This window comes from Homo sapiens, chromosome 9 (assembly GCF_000001405.40).
Source record: "Homo sapiens chromosome 9, GRCh38.p14 Primary Assembly".
NCBI classification, from domain to species: domain Eukaryota; kingdom Metazoa; phylum Chordata; class Mammalia; order Primates; family Hominidae; genus Homo; species Homo sapiens.
Window position 1 is genome coordinate 35,011,363 of NC_000009.12, and position 22,186 is coordinate 35,033,548.

A 22,186-nucleotide genomic window follows, 5' to 3' on the forward strand; every position below is an offset into this window, starting at 1 on the left:
TTACCCTGATACCAAAGGCAGATAAAGACATCATTAGAAAAGAAAATTACAGACCAATATCCTTTATAAATATAGATGATAAAATCCTCAATAAAATATTAGCAGGTTGAACTCAACAGCAAATTAAAATGATCATTCACCATAACCAAGTGGAATTTATTCCAAGAATGCAGGGGTGATTACACATAAGAAAATCAATCCATGTAACACATCATATTAACAGAATGAAGGGGAAAAACCAAATGATCATTTCAGTTGACACAGAAAAAGTATTTAACAAAATCTAACCTTTTAATGATAAAAATTAAGAAAACTAGGAATAAAGAGACCATTTCCCAACACGATATAAAGCATTTATGAGAAAGCCACAGCTAGCAGGATATCAATGATGAAATACTGAAAGTTTTCCCCCTAAGATCAGGAACAAGAAAAGGATGCCCTGCTATTCAATATTGTAATGGAAGTTCTAACCAGAGCTATTCAACAAGAACAAGTAATGGAAGGCATCAGCTGAGAATGGTGGCTTATGCCTGTCATCCCAGCACTTTGAGAGGCCAAGGTGGGAGGATTACTTGAAGCCAGGAGTTCAAAACCAGCCAGGGCAAACTTTTCCTGAGGGAAAGTTTGGAACTTCTTAGAGATTGATTAAGTGGTTGTGATCAAAATGTTCATACAAATATAGACAGTAAAGGCCAAGCTGACATCTCAGATACAAATTAAGAATTTATTAGGAACTGGACCAAACCTTGTTAGTATAAACAAAGAACTGGCTGCATTGTCTCCATGCTCTAGGACTCTGTAGAAGGTCAAACTTAAGAGTAAAGACCTAGGACATCTGGTGGAAGAAATTTCTAAGCAGCAAAGCCTTCAAGAAGTGGCGTGGCTGCTTTTACCTGCTTACAATCAGTTCCAGCAGGAAAAGAATCACCTATGAACCCAAAATATCTGAGACAGGTCTCAAACAATTTAGAAAGTTTAATTTGCCAAGGTTAAGGACACGCCCATGACACAGCCTCAAGAGGTCCTGATGACATGTGCCCAAGGTGGTTGGGATACAGCTTGGTTTTATACATTTTAGGGGGACATGAGACATAATATGTGTAAGATGTGCATTGGCTCAGTCAGGAAAGGTGGGACAACTCAAAAGTGGGATGGGGGTGAGGGTGGGCTTCCAGGTTATAGGTAGATAAAAGACAAAAGGTTGCATTCTTTTGAGTCCTTGATCAGCCTTTCACTGAATACACAATTTAGTCTGAGCCAGGCATGGTAGCTCACACCTGTAATCCCAGCACTTTGGGAGGCTGAGGCGGGTGGATCACTCGAGGTCTCTCAGGACCTCTCACTCTCAGGAGTTTGAGACCAGCCTTGGCCAACATAGAGAAACCCCTATACTAAAAATACAAAAATTAGCCGGGCATGAGGGCATGTGCCTATAGTCCCAGTTATATGGGAGGCTGAGGCAGGAGAATAACTTGAACCTGGAAGGCAAGGGTTGCAGTGAGCTGAGATTGCACCACTGCACTCCAGCCTGGGTGACAGGGTGAGACTCTGACTCAAAAAAAAAAAAAAAAAAAAGAAAAAGAAAAAAAAAGTTTAGTCTGTCTCAGTGTATCTGCATTTTTACATAAACAATAGGGCACAGGAAGCAATCGGATATGCAATTGTCTCAGGTGAGCAGAGGGATGACTTCCTGTCCCACATCTGTGAAAATAAGCTATCAGTTTACATTGCCAGGGTGAAATTCAACAGAACTGTTTCAGGGTAAAGATCTTGAGGCCCACAAGAAATTTCCTTGTGGGCAAATTGTGAGGGAGATTTTTTTTTTATCTTTGTAGCTGTCTTATTTAGGAATAAAATGGGAGGTAGGTTCGCCTGACATAGTTTCCAGCTTGACTTTTCCCTTGGCTTAGTGATTTTGGAATCCGAGATTTATTTTCCTTTCACATTTTTTCTGTTTCTTTTTAAAATCTTTCAGAAAGAGCATTTTAGAAGAAAATGAGTCTCCAGTCTCAGGTTTTTCTGATCACTTATAGCTAGGATGATCTATTCTAGACAGGTAGGTCTCACATTATTAGAAAAGCTCATTTTTAGCAGGTTGTAAAGTATCATGTTCTACAAACAGAAAATAGGGACAGAAAGAAAGAAAACAACAAACAAATGAAAAGATAGAGCCATTTTTCTCTGAAGTTCATACATCAGTAGGCTGGCATATAGGTTGCTGTTATTTTCTTCTGAAGTTTAAGTTGTGTAGCTTCAGTTCACAGGGTTTTAAGAAAGCACAGCATAACTTTTAGTGATTTCAAATCACAAAAAATGGAAAAAAAGGAAGGAAAGAAGAAAAAAATTGAAAATATTATTTTGAATACCTGTACCCCCCCAAAATTTTTAAATTCAGTCCAAACTAGAAAATAATAAAAATTGAAAAATATTAGGCAAGACTAGAATCTAATAACAGGTACACTATAGTTCACTTTGAAAAATAATTTTTCTCTCTCCAGTCCCCATTTTCACTAAATACAAATCATAGGACAAATTTATGCATAAAATAAGTGTTAGTCTTATTATACTTGGCCTGTGTATTTGCATGAAGTCAGCAAGAATAATTATGTGCTGGCTGGGCGCAGTGGCTCACACCTGTAATCCCAGCACTTTGGGAGGCCGAAACAGGTGGCTCACTTGAGGCCAGAAGTTCAAGACCAGCCTGGGCAACAGGGAGAAAACCCATCTCCACTAAAAATACAAAAACTAGCCAGGCATGGTGGCACATGCCTGTAGTCCAGATATTCAGGAGGCTGAGGCATGAGAATCACTTGAATCTCAGAGGCAGAAGTTGCAGTGAGCCCAGATCGTGCCACTGTACTCCAGCCTGGGCAACAGAGCAAGATTCTGTCTCAAAAAAGAAAAAATTATTTGCCATATAGGCTCTTTAAAAAAAAAAAAACTGGCTTTGCTGGAACTTTATTCCATAAGAAATTTCAGATTGGACTTGAGCCTAGCCTGTACCTGCAGATACCTGTATTAATTGGGTGAATTCCCAAGATAATTTGAGTCTCCTGGGCCTATCAGAAAGTGACTTTTTTTTTTTTTTTGAGACAAAGTCTCACTCTGTCACCCAGGCTGGAGTGCAATGGTGCAATATCGGCTCACTGCAACCTCTGCCACCTAGGTTCAAGTGATTCTCGTGCCTCAGCCTCCCAAATAGCTGGAATTACATGCACATGCCACCATGCCCAACTCATTTTTTTATTTTTAGTAGAGATGGGGTTTTGCTCTGTTGGCCTGTTGGCCAACTGGTCTCAAACTTCTGACCTTAAGTGATCCACCCACCTTGGCCTCCCAAAGTGCTGGGATTACAGGTATGAGGCACCACAGCTGGCCCAGAAAGTGACATGCTTTACTTACCACACGTCAGGAAACTGTACAGGAACTGTGTGGAAAGGCATGAGGCCAGCTTTCCCAAGGGGCTTTTATGACTCTGTAAGTCAACTTTGATTCCTTAAAGCAGTTGATTTATATCTGAAAGTAAGCCATTCCAATCAAAGCCTTGGTAAAATAACCAGTGTCTTCAATTGTATCCTGTTACAAAAGAAAACAGATTCTTATTGAACTTATGCAAATAACTAGACTGCTATAAATTAAGTATACTTGCTAATAGTTTTCAAATTCTGGAGAATTCAGGTAGAGGAATATGCTTCAGATTTTGCTCACGGGAATTTAGTTTACCCAATTGTTAAAAGCTGTAAATAGCTCAAAGAAAAAGGGTTTTCTGGACTCAGAAACAAAAGAATTACCAATGTTTCAAACAAAGTCATAAAAAGATTATTTCAGTTTTCCATTAGTTTAGTCCATGTAATTAACTCCGGTTCTGCTCAATGTTTATGAACACATTAACTGTCTACAGGAGTCTTAGATGTTTCTCCTCTATTCTAGTGTCACAATCTCCCAAGTTATCAGAAACCTGCATTCAAAAGCACCTGTCAGAGTCATATAGCTATTTATAAAATCACCTTTTGAAAAGGATAAAAGTAGGCTGGGCACAGTGGCTCATGTCTGTAATCCCAGCACTTTGGAAAGCTGAGGTGGGTGGATCACTTGAGGTCAGGAGTTTGAGATTAGCCTGGCCAACATGGCAAAACCCTATCTTTACTAAAAATACAAAAATTAGCTGGGCATGGTGGCATGCACCTGTAATCCCAGCTACTTGGGAGGCTGAGGTGGAAGAATCACTTGAATTCGGGAGGCAGAGATTGCATTGAGCCAAGATTGCACCACTGCACTCCAGCCTGGGTGACAGAGTATGACTCTTTCTCAGAAAAAAAAAAGGATAAAAGTAAAACAACTGTGGATGACAAAACTCTTAGAACAGTCATAGTTAGACAGGACTGACAAGGAAATTTAGTTACTTCTGTGGCATACAACAATTTTACATGATAAGCATAATTACTACTGACAACATATACTAAGACTCATCCGAGGCCAGGCATGGTGGCTCATGCGTGTAATCCCAGCACTTTGGGAGGCCGAGGTGGGTGGATCACGAGGTCAGGAGTTCGAGACCAGCCTGACCAACATGGTGAAACCCCATCTCTACTAAAAACACAAAAATTAGCCAGGCGTGGTGGCACGTGCCTGTAATCCCAGCTACTTGGGAGGCTGGGGCAGAAGAATCGCTTGAATCCAGGAGGCCGAGGTTGCAGTGAGCTGAGATCGTGCCACTGCACTCCAGCCTGGGCAACAGGACGAGACTCCATCTTAAAAAAAAAAAAAAAAGACTAGTCCCAATCACAGGAATCTGAAAAATGGTAAATACCATTTCATATTTGATAAAACTTCCTATATGATTTTATATCAAGCCAAATATGTCTTTTTTGCACTTCAGGAGACCTAATATCAAAAAAAATTAAGGGAAGCAAAGTCAGAATTTGATTTTGGAAAGTTTGTCAAATATAACACTTGATATCACAAAATAGGATCATGGTAAAATATTATAAAATAATTCTTTTTTTAGCCAAAATGATAACTCAAAGATTTCAAAAAGGAAAAATCTTTTATTCTTTGAGAAAAGAGACTTACTTTCCTAAACAATAAGCCCTAATAAAGACAGCATAAGAACAACTAAATCTCTCAAAATTTTATAAACAGGCTGGGCATGGTGGCTCATGCCTGTAATCCCAGCACTTTGGGACGCCAAGGCAGGTGGATCACTTGAGGTCAGGAGTTCGAGACCAGCCTGGCCAACATGGTGAAACCCTGTCTCCACTAAAAATACAAAAATTACCCAGGTGTGGTGGCATGTGCCTGTAGTCCCAGCTACTTGGGAGGCTGAGGCAGGAGAATTGCTTGAACCCAGGAGGCAGAGGTTGCAGTGAGTTGAGATTGTGCCACCGCACTCCAACCTGGGCAACAGAGCAAGACTCTGTCTCAAAAAAAAAATTATAAGCAAAATCTACTAAATTTTAGTCATTTGACCGTAAGATATAATTTCCATAAACCTTTCTATAACCTGTATAACCTTTTTTTAAGGAGTGTGCTAATGCTCTAAGAAAATGCTCAAAAACCAGCCATATGCTGGTTTTGCATCAGTGTGCCTTTGACATTAATGGTTAGGTTTATAGAGAACCAAACTAATTTAATCTCTCAACATCAGCCCTTACAATCTCATGCACCCAGCTCTTCCACAATAGTCCCTGAGCCTTGGGAAGTCGAATACGTTTAATTTCTGGCCCTGTGTCTCATGAAAGCAGTTTATTTTGATTGGCATCTTCTACCAGGTCTGAAGATGAGGCTTTAACTGCTGTCAGTATTTAAGATTGAGCAGGACTTAGTGTCCTTTTTAGACTCAAGAGTCAAACCCTGTAATTGAATGGCACAAAAACTTGAAAAGCACATACAGAAAGTTACACGGATGCAATAACTTTAATTTAGAATGTTTTTTCAGTTTTTTCTAAGCAAACCAAAACTTAATAGTAATGATATAGGAATTATTTCAATAAAACATAAAATCTGTTTGTTAGGCCAGTTACCAAAAGGCAAAAGCAAAGACCTTCTGCAGTGTAATTTCTGTTCCCTATGGGGAATCCATTTAGATAATCTGCAAGTCAAAACTAATGAAAATAGTACTTGAATTAGACATAGGAAGAATGTTTCCTGGGTCACAAGTAAAAATTTTCAGATTCATAGAACAATTTAAAGCCAAGAGCACAGGACACTATGTTAGAAGAAAACATTTCCTTTAGACCTTTAAGATAAAACATTTTTAGCATCAGGCCACAACAAATAATTAGAACCTGAGGGGAGAAAAACTTACAGGAGCTGAAAATGAGTTGAAGGAGAGTTATTATTTCAGGCCTTTTAAAAGGGGAGAGAAAGCTGAAAACAGCAAAATGCAATAAAAGTTGAACTTTGGGCTAAAAAAAAAATTAAAATCTCTTGTAATTTTATTAAGAGTAAATCAATACCTTAAGAAAATTTTGCTGTTCTAACCAATTCTTTAGTGTTTGTTTTTTTTAGATCAAAACCCAATCTCTAGAAAAAGTATTATAAATAGTTTCCCTTTAATTACAGACAACTTGATACAAATCATTTACAACATGCTTGGACTTCCTGTTTTATCCTAAACATCCCTCTTTCTTAAATAACCAGTCATTTTATTTCAGGACAAAATTTTACCACACGAGATTCTTTCTTACATAAAATTATTTTCCTTTTAACCTTTCTTGCCAAAAACAACTCTTTATATTTGTAACTTTCTTTACATTGCTCATATTTACTGACTACCTTTATCTTGTTTCATAAATAACTTTTAAATAACCTTGGAATTAGACAAAAATTATTTTCCTTTAAATAAGAACACATTTCTTTTTTTAGAAAAATGTTTTCCTATAACTTTTTAAAAGGAAATGACCCAGACATTTAATGAATATCTATTATTTAACTTCATATAACTTTAGATTTTAAATTATATGATAAGATCATTTATAAGCATTTATTCCATTACATTTACCTAATTAATTTTTAAAAATAGTTTACCCAGATTACTTATGAAAACTGTGATAGCTATCATTTAAAGTTATTTCCCTGATGGCCAGCCCAGTGGCTCATGCCTGTAATCCCAGCACTTTGGGAGGCTGAGGCAAGAGGATCGCTTGAGGCCAGGAGTTTGAGACCAGCCTGGCCAACATGGCAAAACACCACCTCTACTAAAAACACAAAAATGAGCTAGGCCATAGTGGTGCATGCCTGTAATCCCAGCTACTTGGGAGGCTGAGGCACAAGAATCACTTGAACCTGGGAGGCAGAGGTTGCAGGTTGCAGTGAGCCGTGATCATGCCACTACACTCCAGCAGGGGTGCCAGAGCAAGACTTTATCACAAACAAAGAAACAAACAAAAAGCAACAAAAATAAACTTATTTTCTTGTTAACTATTTGTTTTTGTTTTTGATTTCCTTCGACTTTTAAGTTCTGAGGCACATGTGCAGGATGTGCAGGTTTATTATATATGTAAACGTGTGCCATGGTGGTTTGCTTCACAGATCAACCCATCGCCTTGGTATTAAGTCCAGCATCCATTAGCTATTCTTCCTGATGCTCTCCCTCCCACTGAGAAGCCCCAGTGTGTGTTGTTCCTCTCATGTGTCCATGTGTTTTCATTGTTCAGCTCCCACTTATAAGTGAGAACACGCAGTGTTTGGTTTTCTGTTCCTGCGTTAGTTTGCTGAGGATAACAGCTTCCAGCTCCACCCATGTCCCTGCAAAGGACATGATCTCATTCCTTCTTATGGCTGCATAGTATTCCATGGTGTGTATGTACCATGTTTTCTTTATCCAGTCTATCATTTATGGGCATTTGTGTTGATTCCATGTCTTTGGTATTGCAAGTAGTGCTGCAATGAACATACACATGCACGTTTTCTTTATAACAGAATGATTTATATTCCTTTGGGTATTTACCCAGTAATGGGATTGCTGGGTCAAATGGTATTCCTGCCTCTAGATCTTTGAGGAATTGCCACACTGTCTTCCACAATTTACACTCCCACCAACAGTGTAAAAGTGTTCCTTTTTCTCTGCAACCTTGACAGCATCTGTTGTTTCTGGACTTTTTAGTAATCGCCATTCTGACTGGCATGAGATGGTATATCACTGTGGGTTTTCTGGGGGTTTTGTTTGTTTTGAGGCAGAGTCTCGCTTTGTTGCCCAGGCTGGAGTGCAGTGACACGATCTTGACTCACAGAAACCTACACCTACTGGGTTCAAGCAATTCTCCTGCCTCAGCCTCCTGAGTAGCTGGGATTTCAGGCATGTGCTACCATGCCCAGCTAATTTTTGTATTTTTGGTAGAGACAAGGTTTCACCATGTTGGCCAGGCTGGTCCCGAATTTCTGACCTCCAGTGATCCATCCACATTGGCCCCCAAGGTACTGGGATTACAGGCACGAGACACTGCTCCTGGCCTCATTGTGGTTTTGATTTGCATTTCTCTAATGATCAGTGATGTTGACCTTTTTTTCATACGGTTAACCATTTTTATAATCTGTAAATTTCAGATTTTCCTAGGTAAGAAACTTAAGATTAGATAAATGGTGTTTTGTTTACCAAAAATTCAGGATTTAGCTGTTTTCATTAACTAAACAATATTAAATGCCTTATATATCAAATTTTACATAAACAATTCTCTTTTGGGCTACATTCATAGCTTTACAACCTTCATGCCAAATGTTGACATCTAGCAGAGATCAATTCTGAAGCCATTTCTAATTCTACTTCACCAGTATTTTTAAAACCAGCTTATTTATTAAAGATTTACTTAAGTTGAGGCTGGGTGTGGTGGCTCACGCCTGTAATCCCAGCACTTTGGGAGGCCGAGGCAGGCGGATCATGAGGTCAGGAGATCGAGACCATCATGGCTAACACAGTGAAACCCCATCTCTACTAAAAATACAAAAAATTAGCCTGGTGTGGTGGCAGGCATCTGTAGTCCCAGCTACTCGGGAGGCTGAGGCAGAAGAATGGCATAAGTAAACCCGGGAGGCGGAGCTTGCAGTGAGCCGAGATGGTGCCACTGCACTCCAGCCTGGGGGACAGAGTGAGACTCCGTCTCAAAAAAAAAAAAAAAATGATTTACTTAAGTCACTTGAAGTTGAAAAAGCACTTGGTTTAAAGTCTCAATTTTCTAATAAAGTATTTGATTAAGTGCTTTTTTCTTTAAGCCAATTAATTAAAGCTCTTTTATATATTTTTAGTAATGAAACATCATATACATGACACATAAATATGTAGATGTATTAGACACGCAGGTAGAAGTAGATCTTATAGATTCATAAAACCTCTTTTTCCCTATTTTAGACTTCCAAATTCCTTTCTTTTCTTTTTTTTTTTTTTTGGCAGCAAAGAAAGAATTTAATAATCACAGGGCTAGCCAAGTGGTAATGAAATGGGAGGACTGGGAGGGGGCCTGAACAATCCCTGAGGAGGAGTAGAATAGCAGACGGAACACTGAGAAGTGATTTCCTTGAGGATAGATTTTCATGATGGAAAGGAAATGAGAGGTTCTAAGAGGTGGGCTAGCGGCTTGTAACCTACATGGAAGAGGCTATGAAATGATGACAGAATAGAATGGGCCTGTGAGGCTGGAAGGAGATATTTTCCTTGGTCTAAGAACCATTTGCCTTGTGTGGGAAGAGATTGATAGGTGGAAGTTTCAGTGGGGGAGTAGGTGGGAGTGACCGATGAGAAGGAGAAAAACTGGCCATGAGGGACAGAAGTTGGAATGCTAGCTGCTTTTTTAGCTACCTTATCAGCATAAGTGTTGCCCTGAGCGATGGGATCTGACGCCTTTTGATGGCCCTTGCAGTGAATGAATCCAGCTTCCTTTGGAAGTAAAGTGGCCTTGAGAAGAGTTTTTATTAAAGAGGCATTAATGATGGAGGACCCTTGCGTAGTGAGGAAACCTCTTTCAGCCCATATAACAGTATGGTGGTGCAGGATATGGAAGGCATATTTAGAGTCAGTATAAATATTGACACGTAGTCCCTTTGCAAGGGTGAGGGCTTGAGTTAAGGCAATGAGTTTGACTTGCTGAGAGGTAGTGGAGAGGGGCAGAAAGTATATGCATCAGGTATGAGGAAGAAAATAGATTTTGGAAGTTATGAGAACTGTAGAGAGTGAGTTGAGCATAGTTTGTGATTTTGAGGGCCTCTAAAAGTATTAAGGCAGTGGCAGCTGCCGCACACAGACATGAGGGCTAGGCTAAAACAGTAAGGTCAAGTTGTTTGGATAAAAAGGCCACAGGGCACGGTCCCAGTCCTTGTGTAAGAATTTTGACTGCACAGCCCTGCACTTCAGCTATGTGTAATGAAAAAGGCTGGGATGAGTTAGGGAGAGCTAGTGTGGGAGCAGCTTTTAGGGCTGTTTTTTAAGAAATGGAAAGGGGAGTGGGGAAAGAATTTAGGATTTATGGGGTCAGCTAGGTTTATCTAGAACAGAATGGGTTGTGGAGGGAGGTACTGAGGATAGGAGAGTCTATGGGTTTGGCACCACGGGGTAGATAGGCAAGACAATTTGGTTGATAAGGCGCAGATCCTGAACTAACCTGTAAGACTTGTCCAGTTTTTGGACAGGTAAAATGGGGAAATTGTAAGGAGTGTTTATAGGCTTTAAAAGGCCATGCTGTAACAGGCGAGTGATAACAGGCTTTAATGCTTTGAAAGCCTGCTGTGGGATGGGATACTGGTGTTGAGCAGGGTAAGGGTGATCAGGTTTTAATGGGATGGTAAGGGGTACGTCATCCATCGCCAAGGAGGGAGTAGAGGTGTCCTATACTTGTGGATTAAGGTGGGGAGATACAAAGAGAGGATGTGAAGGAGGCTTTGAACTGGGGGGAAAGGCAGCAATGAGGTGTGGCTGTAGCCCAGGAATAGTCAGGGGAGTAGATAATTTAGTTAAAATGTCTCGACCTAATAAGGGAGCTGGGCAGGTGGGGATAACTAAAAAGGAGTGCATTAAAGAATGTTGTCCAAGTTGGCACCAGAGTTGGGGAGTTTTAAGAGGTTTAGCAGCCTGGCCATCAATACCCACAACGGTTATGGAGGCAAGGGAAACAGGCCCTTGAAAAGAAGGTAATGTGAAGTGGGTAGCCTTCGTATTGATTAAGAAGGGGACGGACTTACCCTCCACTGTAAGAGTTACCCAAAGCGTCTGTGATGGTCCAGGAGGCTTCCGAGGTGATCAGGCAACGTCAGTCTTCAGCCACTGAGCCGAGAAGATCTGGGAAGGAGTCAGTCAGAGCCTTGGGCCAGTTAGACAGTCCAGTTTCCAGTGGGGTCCCACACAGATGGGACACGGCTTAGGAGGAGTCCCAGTTCTGTGGGCATCCCTTGGCCTAGTGGCCAGATTTCCAGCACTTGAAGCAAGATCCTGGGGGAGGAAGTCCTGAAGGAATGCCTGACTGCTGTGGCTTAGGCGTTTTGAAGTTTTTGTGTGCTGGAGATATGGCTGGGGTTTCTCACACAGCAGAGGCAAGTAATTGCAACTCTTTATTATTGTACACCTTGAAGGCGCGGTTAATTAGGTCCTGTTGTGGGGTTTGAGGACTGGAAGCTCATTTTTGGAGCTTTTTCTAATGTCGGGAGCGGACTGGGTAATAAAATGCATATTGAGAATAAGGCGGCCTTCCGGCCCCTCTGGGTCTAGGGCGGTAAAGCGTCTAAGGGTTGCTGCTAAGCGGGCCATGACCTGGGCTGGGTTTTCGTCTTTACCTCGGGTAGTTTTTAATTTTGTCATAATTAAAAGCTTTGTGTGCTGCCTTTTTAAGCCCTTCAACTAGGCAGGAAATCATGTAATCTCGCCTAGCTATACCTGGGGAATCTGCCTGATAGTTCCTTTGGGGGTCCTCTCGGGGAACTGCTCTGATGCCTTCCTGGAGGCCTGGCTCATGAAGCCAGCGGTTGTCAGCGTGAGACTGGGCTAGAGAAAAAACTCTTTCCTGTTCATCTGGGGAGAGGGTGGAAGTCAGGATGACATTTAAGTCACTGCAGGTTAACTTGCAGGACAGAGTTAGATATCGGAATTCCTGTATATATTTAGTGGGGTCTGATGAGAAAGAGCCCAAACACTGGCTGATTTGGGAAAAGTCTGATACAGAAAAAGGCACATGTACCCAGACTATGCCTTCAGCTCCAGCCACTTCTCTAAGAGGAAATTGTTGGGCAGGTGGGGGAGAGCTAGTCGCAGAACGAAACTGTAAAGCAGACCGGGTGTGAGGAGAGGAAGTGATAAAAGGATTATAGGGTGGGGGAGCAGTGGCTGAGGAAGAGTTGGGACCTGGCTCGGCCTAGCGAGAAGCAGCCTGGGGAGGAGGGGAGAGGTCAGATGGGTCTGTAGAAAAGAAGGATTCAAAGGACTCAGAGCTTGGGGTGGAGACTGAAGGAACAGACAGGAGAGAAAGAAGAAAGATTTGGGATGAGTCACATTGGGAGCAGAGACTAGGGAGGGACCAATGTATAAAAGATTGCCTGGACGTCAGGCACCACAGACCATTTGCCCATTTTTCAACAAAAATTATCTAGATCTTGTAGGATAGACATATCAAAAGTGCCATTCTCTGGCCACTTGGAACTACTGTTGAGTTTGTATTGTGGCCAAGTGGTATTGCAGAAGAAAATAAGGCATTAAGTTTTAGGTCAGGTGTGAGTTGAAGAGGTTTTAAGTTCTTGAGAACACAGGCTAAGGGAGAAGAAGGGGGAATGGAGGGCGGAAGGTTGCCCATAGTGAAGGAGGTAAGTTTAAAGAGAAAGGTAGAGACACGGAGAAGGAGGGTGGGGAGCAGCCCTAGGCTGCAATGTGGGTGAGCAGCCAAAGCAGGCATCCCCGCAACTAACTTGCCACCAAGGGAATGTCAGTGAATGACCAAGGCAGGCATCCCCGCGGTGATCAGACGCCAATGGAGTGTGGGTGAATAATCAGGCAGGCGTCCCCACAATGATTAAACACCAAGGGAAGGCTGTCTTCCTGAGTCCATGACTGGCGCCAGAGTTTTGGGTCCATGGATAAAATGTGTCTACTTTGTCTCTACTAGAGAGGAAAAAGAACTGGAATTAGAAAGACAGGGAGATTGAAGGGTAGTGAGAAAGGCTAGATAAGAGAGTGAAAAGACCGCTTACCCAATTTGAAATTGGTGAGATGTTCCTTGGGCTGGTTGGTCTGAGGACCCAGGGTCATACATAGGTGGATCTCTTCATGGAGTGAGGGTGAGGACAGGGGACTGGTCTCCTGAAGGAGTCCCTCTGACCCGGGTCTTCGGCACCAGATGTCTGTCACATCCGCGTGAAGAGAACACCAAACAGGCTTTGTGTGAGCAACAAGGCTGTTTATTTCACCTGGGTGCAGGCGGGCTGAATCCAAAAAGAGAGTCAGCAAAGGGTGGTGGGATTATCATTAGTTCTTATAGGTTTTGGGATAGGCAGTGGAGTTAGGAGCAATGTTTTGCAGGCAGGGGGTGGATCTCACAAACTACATTCTCAAGGGTAGGGAGAATTACAAAGAACCTTCTTAAGGGCGGGGGAGATTACAAAGAACCTTCTTAAGGGTGGGGGAGATTACAAAGTACATTGATCAGTTAGGGTGGGACAGAAACAAATCACAATGGTGGAGTGCCATCAGTTAAGGCTATTTTCACTTCTTTTGTGGATCTTCAAGTGCTTCAGGCTATCTGGATGTATACGTGCAGGTCACAGGGGATATGATGGCTTAGCTTGGGCTCAGAGGCCTGACAATTATTATGAGGCTAGACCATGTGATGTTTTTACAGTGCACTTTTTTTTTTAACAAAGACATTTCTCTAAGTGTCTAAACCAAACTCTTCCTTGATTTAAACACCCAAGAGTAACCTCTGTTGTAATAACTGTTTTAGTCAAAAAAAATCAGGTAACACAATACAAAAGCAAGCAGTTTAAGATCTGAGATGAACTCGCCTGTTTACACTCTTGGGGTTCCATAAGGAAAAACAGAGATTTCTTCCCGAAAGGGAGTCTGGCACCTTCTCTGTTTTCTTTAAGGAATCTCAGGCTGTTAGAAACTATTTTAGATTCCTCATGAAGCAGAGGGTGGCAAGAGAAAGGAGAGACAGCAGAAGTAAATGAAGAAAACAGAATTCAGTTGACTAAGAAGAAAAAAAAAACCTTTTTCTCAAAAAAAAAAAGAAAGAACAAAAGAAAAAAACAAAACAAGGTCCTAGGAGAGAAAAGAAAACCACAAAGGCCTTTTAAATACACACACACACACACACACACACACACACACACCTTGAATATTAGCTTTTAATTAAGCTGACTTTTAAACATTGAGCTCCTTTAAAAAAAAATTTGGCTGGACGTGGTGGCTCATGCCTGTCATCCCAGCACTTAGGGAGGCCTAGGCAGGCAGATCATTTGAAGTCAGGAGTTTGAGACCAGCCTGGCCAACATGGCTGGGCATGGTGGCTCATGCCTGTCATCCCAGCACTTTGGGAGGCCGAGGCCAGCGGATCACTTGAGGAGTTTGAGACCAGCATGGCCAACATGGTGAAACCCCGTCTCTACTAAACATACAAAAATTAGTTGGGATGGTGGCACATGCCTGTAATTTCAGCTACTCGGGAGGCTGAGGCAAGAGAATCACTTGAACCCAGGAGGCAGAGGTTGCAGTGAGCCAAGATCATGCCACTGCACTCCAGCCTGGGTGACAGAAACTCTGTCTCAAAAGACAAAACAAAACAAAAAATTTACCAAGACAGTTGTAGGTAAAGAAAGGCATATTTATTAGAGAAAGTATTAAAATATGTTTCAAAAAAGCAATGGGCAGAATTATCAGAGGTGTGTGAATCAGAGCAACTCCATCTTGAATAGGGGCTGGGTAAAATGAAGCTGAGACCTACTGGGCTGCATTCCCAGATGATGAAGGCATTAGTCACAGGATGAGATAGGAGGTCAGCACAAGATACAGGTCATAAAGACCTTGCTGATAAAACAGTTTGCGTAAAGAAGCCAAAGCCGGCCAAAACCCACCAAAACCAAGATGGACACGAGAGTGACCTCTGGTCGTCCTCACTGCTATACTACCACCAGGGCCATGGCAGTTTAAAAATGCCATGGCAACATCAAGAAGTTACCCTATATGGTCTAAAAAGGGGAGGCATGAATAATCCACCCCTTTTTTAGCATATAATCAAGAAATAAACATAAAAATGGGCAATCAGCAGCCCTCAGGGCTGCTCTGCCTGTGGAGTAGCCATTCTTTCTTCCTTTACTTTGCTAATAAACTTGCTTTCACTTTATGGACTCCCCCTGAATTCTTTCTTGCGTGAGATCCAATAACCGTCTCTTGGGGTTTGGATTGGGACCCCTTTCCAGTAACAGAATCAGCAAGAGAGGAAGTGACTGCAAGAAAACAAAGGCTTGCTGGAGATTTTATAAGCTGGTTCTTGGGCTGCAGAGTGCTACATGTAGTACTGATAATGACAAGGTTGCAGAGGAGCTAACTTGCAACATTTCTGTCAGCCAAGGTGTTTGATGATAAATGGAACCATCTGATAAGCAGGAAGAGTGTGAGTTGTACATTATCTGCACAGATAATGTTTGTGTCCTGGGCCACAAAGAAAGGCAGACCTATTATAGCTTATCTGCTTTATCTCTTTGCTTTCCCCTGATCTCGCCAGCTTGTCCCCTTTTCCCTAATTAGGACTCCACAAAGTGAGACAGAAACAACAAAAACAGAAACAAAAAAACAAAACAAAAAACAGTTAAGCAAAACAAACAAATGATCACACAATTTATACAATTACTGAGCACTCTAATTATAAGGAGAAATTAAGACTAGCTGGTTGTTAATCTTAACTTTAGCCAAGACAAAAACCCAATTCAGCTACTTACCAAGGAATGGGGCTCAAACTGAAGACTGCTCTCTACCATCCTAGAAGCGGGAAAAAGCTCAAACTCACCCTCCCTCTTGGAAGAGGGCTGAAACTCCAGAAGGGGGTTACCTGCCCACCATCAGCATGGAAGCAGGAAAACTTGCCTTCCTTGTTGGAAGCAAGTAAAACTCCAGAAAAGTTGTACAGCAAAATAAACATTAGATCTCAAACAAATTTGGGTAGAGACCAGGGATTCTCTGGAGGGAAGGGAGCTCCCAGGCATCAGCAAATTGTTCTATTGGTTTGAGTCATAAGGATAGCTCAAGCTAGTACCAAGCACCAAAAGGAGATTTGTCAAAGATCAGGGGCACTTCCACTCAGAATCCCTTCGTGGTTACCAAACTGTGAACCCAAAATATCTGAGTCAGGTCTCAATCAATTTTTCTAGTTTATTTTGCCAAAGTTAAGGACACACCCATAACACAGCCTCAGAAAGACTTGATGACATGTACCCAAGGCAGTTGGGGTACAGCTTGATTTTATACATTTTAGGGAGACACGAGACATCAATCAATATGTGTAAGATGTACATTGGTTCAGTCTGGAAAGCCAGGACAACTTGAAGTTGGGGGAGCAGGGGCTTCCAGGTCATAGGTAGATAAGAAACAAAAGATTTCATTATTTTGAATCCTTGATCAGCCTTTCACTGAATACACAATTTAGTCTGGCTCAGTGAATCTGCATTTTTACATAAACAATAGGGCTGAGGAAGCAATCAGATATGCATTTGTCTCAGAGGGATGACTTCCTGTCCCACACCTGTGAAAAGAAGCTATCAGTTTACATTGCCCGGGTGAAATTCAACAGAACTGTTTTAGAGTAAAGATCTTGAGGCCCACAAAAAATTGCTGTGGGAAAATTGTGAGGGAGGTATGTAGCTTTTTTTTTTTTTTTTAATCTTTGTAGCTATCTTCTTTACAAACAAAATGAGAGGCAGGTTTTCCTGACACAGTTCCTAGCTTGACTTTCCCCTTGGATTAGTGATTTTGAGGTCTGACATTTATTTACCTTTCACAGATCTAAAGGTGGAATTTATAATTTAAAGGGATGCAGATATAAAAATTTGAAAAATTTGTAGTCTGGCCATGTAATAGAAAAGGAAAAAGCATTTTCAGGAGAGGAATCCAAGGGTGCTGTGGAGCAACCATTTGCAAGAGAGATGACTTGCAAGAGAGCATGACTAAAAGTTAATCATGCTGATAGTTAAGGCAATGGGGAAAAGTCCCCAAAGGCACTTCAGAAGATAGGTAGTCTCTCCCATCACAAGCTAAGAGGTCCAGGAGGACAGAATGGTTTTTGGAGGACAGGCTCAGGGCTCTGTGCCCTGTGCTGCCTAGAGATGCTGCTCCCACATCCCAGCCACTCTGGCTCCAGCCACAGCTCAAAGAACCTCAGGTGCCACTCAGGATGCTGCTCTGGAGTGCACAAGCCATAAGTCTTATCAGCTATCACATGTTGTTAAGTCTGCAGGCACCCAGAATGCAAGAGTGGTGGAGAACTCTTGGTGGCTTCCACCTAGATTTCAGAGGATGCATCAGAAAGCCTAGGTGTCCAGGCAGAAGCCTGCTGAAGGGGCAGAGCTACCACAGAGAGCCTCTGCTAAGGTAATGACAATCAGGAATGTGAGATTGCAGCCCCCATAGAGACCTGTATTAGAGCAATGCCCAGTGGAGCTGTGGAAGCAGGGCCATTGTCCTCCAGACCCCAGAATTATAGAGCCACTGGCAGTGTGCAACCTCAGCCTGGAAAAGCTGTAGGCATTCAACCTAACCCATGAGAACAGCCACATGGACTGAGCAAAGCCATGGGAGTGAGGCTGCCTGAGGCCTTTGAGGTCCATCCCTCACACCAGTGTGCCTAGGATGCAGATCATGAAGTCAAAGGAGATTGTTTTGGAACTTTAAGATTTAATGTCTGCTCTGCTGGGTTCTGGATTTGCATAAGGTCCATTACACACACACACCTATATATATAGGTGCAGTAGCACGATCATAGTTCATTCTGTCTCCCAGGCTGGAGTCCAGTGGCACCATTATAGCTTACTACATCATCAAATTCCTGAGCTCAAGCAATCCTCCCACCTCATTCTCCTAAGTAGCTGAGACTACAGGCGCACACCACCACACCCAGCTAATTTTTAAAATGTTTGTAGAGACCTGTCTCATTATGTTGCCCAGGCATGTCTCCAACTCCTTGCCTCAAGCGATCCTCCCACCTCAGCCTCCCAAAGTGTTGTGATTACAGTTGTTCAGCCACTATGCCTGGGCCTGTTACGCCTTTCTTGGGCCAATTTCTCCCTTTTGGAATGGGAACATGTTTACCCAGTGCCTGTACAACCATTATATCTTGTATGTAAATAACTTGATTTTTATTTTAAAGGCTCATAGCTTTAAGGAACTTGACTTAAGTCTCAGGTGAGACTTTGGACTTATAAGTTGATGCTAGAACAAGTTAAGACTTTTGGAGACTATTGGGATGGAATGATTATATTTTGTATGGAAGGACATGAGATTTGGAAGGCCAGGGGCAGCATGCTTCTTTGTCCCAAACATCCAAATCTGTCGCTGTTTGTGATCCTCAATTGATTTTTAGTCAGCAGTCCTTTACTGGAACATCCTTTACCCAAACCTCATGTTGAAATTTGATCCCCAGTGTTGGAGGTGGGGCTTAATGGTAACTGTTTGGATCCTGGAGGCAGATCCTTCACCAATGGCTTGGTGCCATCCTTGAAGTAACACAACTTACTCTATTAGTTCAGTGAGAGCTGGTTATTAAAAAGAGCTTGGCACCTCACTTCCCCCGTTGCTTCCTCTCTCACCATGTGATCTCTGCACATGCCAGCTCCACTTCATCTTCCACCACAGTGGAAGCAGCCTGAAGCTTTCACCAGAAGCAGATGCTGCAGAACCATGAGCCAAATAAACCTCTTTTCCTTATAAATACCCAGCCTCAGGTATTCCTTATAGCAACACTAAATAAACTAAGGCAGACATTCATTATAAATAAATTAATATGATCCTTCCTTCCTTCCTCTCTCTTTTTTTCTTTGACAGGGTCTTGCTATGTCACCTCCCACCTCAGCCCCCTGAGTAGCTGAACTACAGGCACACACTACCACACCTGGATAATCTTTTAATTTTTTTTGTAGATACAGGGTCTCACTATGTTGCCCAGGCTGGTAACAAACTCCTGGCCTCAAGCAATCCTCTGCCTGAGCCTCTCAGAGTGCTGGGACTATAGGTGTGAGCCACTGCTCCCAGCCAATAATATAATTTTTTTTTTTTTTTTTTGAGACGGAGTCTTGCTCTGTCGCTCAGGCTGGAGTGTAATGGCACAGTCTTGGCTCACTGCAACTTCCACTTCCCAGGTTCAAGCAATTCTCCTGACTCAGCCTCCCGAGTAGCTGGGATTACAGGCACCCACAACCGCACCCAGCTAATTTTTGTATTTTTAGTAGAGATGGGATTTCACCATCCTGGCCAGACTGGTCTTGAACTCATGACCTCATGATCCATCCACCTTGGCCTCCCAAAATGCTGGGATTACAGGTGTGAGCCACCACACCTGGCCCAGCCAGTAATATACTTTCTACATTGAATTAATAAACATCTGTGCTCTTTCCCTAAAATTCATTTTTTTTTACCTGACAGATGGTGCAGACAAACCTGTATTTTTAAAGTGCATTAAAATATTTTCTATTTTTTCTTCTTTGAAAATCTCTCCCATGATTTGAGGAAGAAAAAAAAAAAAACCTCAAAGTTTTCCTGTATGTGATCTTCAATTGATTTTGAGTCAGTAGTCCTTTACTGAAAAGAGCAAAGAATCTCACTCTAACAGATACATGTATGCTCTGTCCAGTAACATTTTATCCCCTGGGTACAGAGCTTACTTAGACTCTAACATTTTAGCAGTGCTCTCCAGATTAGCTCAACTACAAAGGAAACATTTGACCCACAGACACCTGAGAAGGGAAGGTGACTGAGGAATGGGTGTTGAGGGACTCTGCTCTCCTGCAAATATTCTGAACTATCTTCAGGATCCAAGATCCTATCTTAGGATCCACTTAAGACCTGCACGCATGAAGTCATTGTACCATGGAGCACATCCTTACAGGGCTGCCCCAAAAATATGCCCAACATAGAAACTAAAACTTTGCTGGTTATCAGCATCACTGAGGAATAGTATTTAGACTTGACAAAGTAGAGGAGCTGAATCTAAGAACTGTACTTAAAGCCAAGCACCCAAAAGGGCTATATCACCTGTTGATGAGGTGAAGAGAAAAATCTGCATACTGGTAACGTGAACCAACAAGAAAACCAGTCTGTCCCTGGTAATAGTAAGAATAGGGAGGAGAGAAACATTTGAGAAATAGACAAAAATGGCAAAATGGGGTGGAAAGGACTAATAACATTAATCATTTTCCCTAATCATTTATAATCATAGCCCTAGTCTCATGCAGTTCCAGCATTTGAATGTACACCATACTCAGAGTCTGATAAACCCCAATTCAAGAAATAAGTAGAAATACAGTCCTAGGTTGATAGTGTTCCCAGCTGGGCACAGTGGCCCACGCCTGTAATCCCTATACTTCGGGAGGCCGAGGTGGGCAGATCACTTGAGGTCAGGAATTCGAGACCAGCTTGGGCAACAGAGTGAAACGCTGTCTCTACTAAAAATACAAAAATTAGCTGGATGTGGTGGCAGGCACCTGTAATCCCAGCAACTCAGGAGGCTGAGGCAGGAGAATTGCTTGAACTCAGGAGGCAGAGGCTGCAGTGAGCCGAGATAGCACCACCGCACTCTAGCCTGGGAGACAGAGGGAGACTCTGTCTCAAAAAATAAAAATTAAAAATAAATAAATAAATAAATAAATAAAAGATAGTGTTCCCTAGCACGCAGAAGAAACCAAGACAAATCATCTCAACCCAGACCTCTCAGGATTCCCAAAGTTGAAGTTTAACCAAATATGAATTCCTAATAAAATATCAAACATACAAGGAAACAGACAACCATGAGCAGAGTCAAGAGAGACTACAAACTGAAATGTAAGACATACACAGACTGCAGATATTAAAATTAAAAAAATAGTATATGAAGTAAATACGTTTAAAGTGTTTTAACTGAAAGGCAGAGATAAGCAGTATGTAAAGCAGAAAGAAGGGACATTTAGGTCAACCTGGACCTTCAGGGTAAGTTCCCTGAGGATATGATGCTTGAGTTGGGCTAGAAGGACAATTAAGAATTAGTCAAGATAGGCCGGGTGCGGTGACTCACACCTGTAATCCCAGCACTTTGGGAGGCTGAGGTGGGCGGATCACAAAGTCAGGAGATCGAGACCAGCCTGGCTAACATGGTGAAACCCCGTCTCTATTAAAAATACAAAAAAAAATTAGCCGGGCGTGGTGATGGGCGCCTGTCGTCCCAGCTACTTGGGAGACTGAGTCAGGAGAATGGCGTGAACCCGGGAGGCGGAGCTTGCAGTGATCGCACCACTGCATTCCAGGTCAGGCAACAGAGTGAGACTCCATCTCAAAAAAAATAAAAATAAAAATAATTAGTCAAGATATAATGCCATCAGGATATGAAGGAAAAAAAAGAATTAGGTGGAAAAAAGTGGTAGGGCATTCCATACCAAGAAATCAAAATCATAAGCAAAGACATGGACACACTGAACAGCATGGGGGACTCAGGGAAAACTTCAAGTGTCCTCTGTTACTAGAGTAATAAATGCAGAGCAGGAAAGAGCAAGAGAAGCTGAAGAAGTAGCATATCAGGAGATAGAGGGCTTTGTATACCATACGTAGGAAGTATGGCCTCACTGAAGGACTTTAAGGAGGGGAATAACATGATCAGTTTTGTTTTATGTAGACTGCTTTGTTAGTAGTGAGGGAAAAGGATTTAAGATGGGCAAAGCTGGAGGAACAGAGATCAGCTAGGATCAGCTACAGATCAACTGCTGCACAGGTTACAGGAGAAATGATGAGCGTCTGAACTACCAGGGTGTCTGTAAGGGTGGGAGGAGAGGCAGATTTGAGAAACTGCAGCTAAAATTAGCAAAAGCTGGTGATTACTTTTGGGAAGGATGAAGGGGAAGCAGCATAGAATGGCTCCTGTGTTTCTTGCTTGGGTGACTAGGTGATATTAATTGATTTGGGGAATACAACAGGAAGACCACATTGGGACAGATGATAATGCCCTAAATAATGAAGATGTTAGGTCTGAGTACTTATGGCGAATCA

General features: G+C 42.1%; 1 long non-coding RNA gene across 2 annotated transcripts; it reads right to left on the reverse strand.

The window, feature by feature from the left end:
• On the reverse strand, nucleotides 136-16,157 carry LOC105376025 (uncharacterized). Of its 2 annotated transcripts, XR_929579.3 has the most exons (4): nucleotides 13,162-16,157; nucleotides 11,170-11,266; nucleotides 3,403-3,576; nucleotides 136-2,287 (listed from the first exon to the last, which is right to left on the reverse strand). It is a non-coding gene; the product is annotated as an uncharacterized LOC105376025 (long non-coding RNA). The 2 variants fall into 2 exon arrangements; XR_929578.3 differs by lacking the exon at nucleotides 13,162-16,157 and having other exon boundaries at nucleotides 11,170-12,414.
• Nucleotides 16,158-22,186: the final 6,029 nt, after the last annotated feature.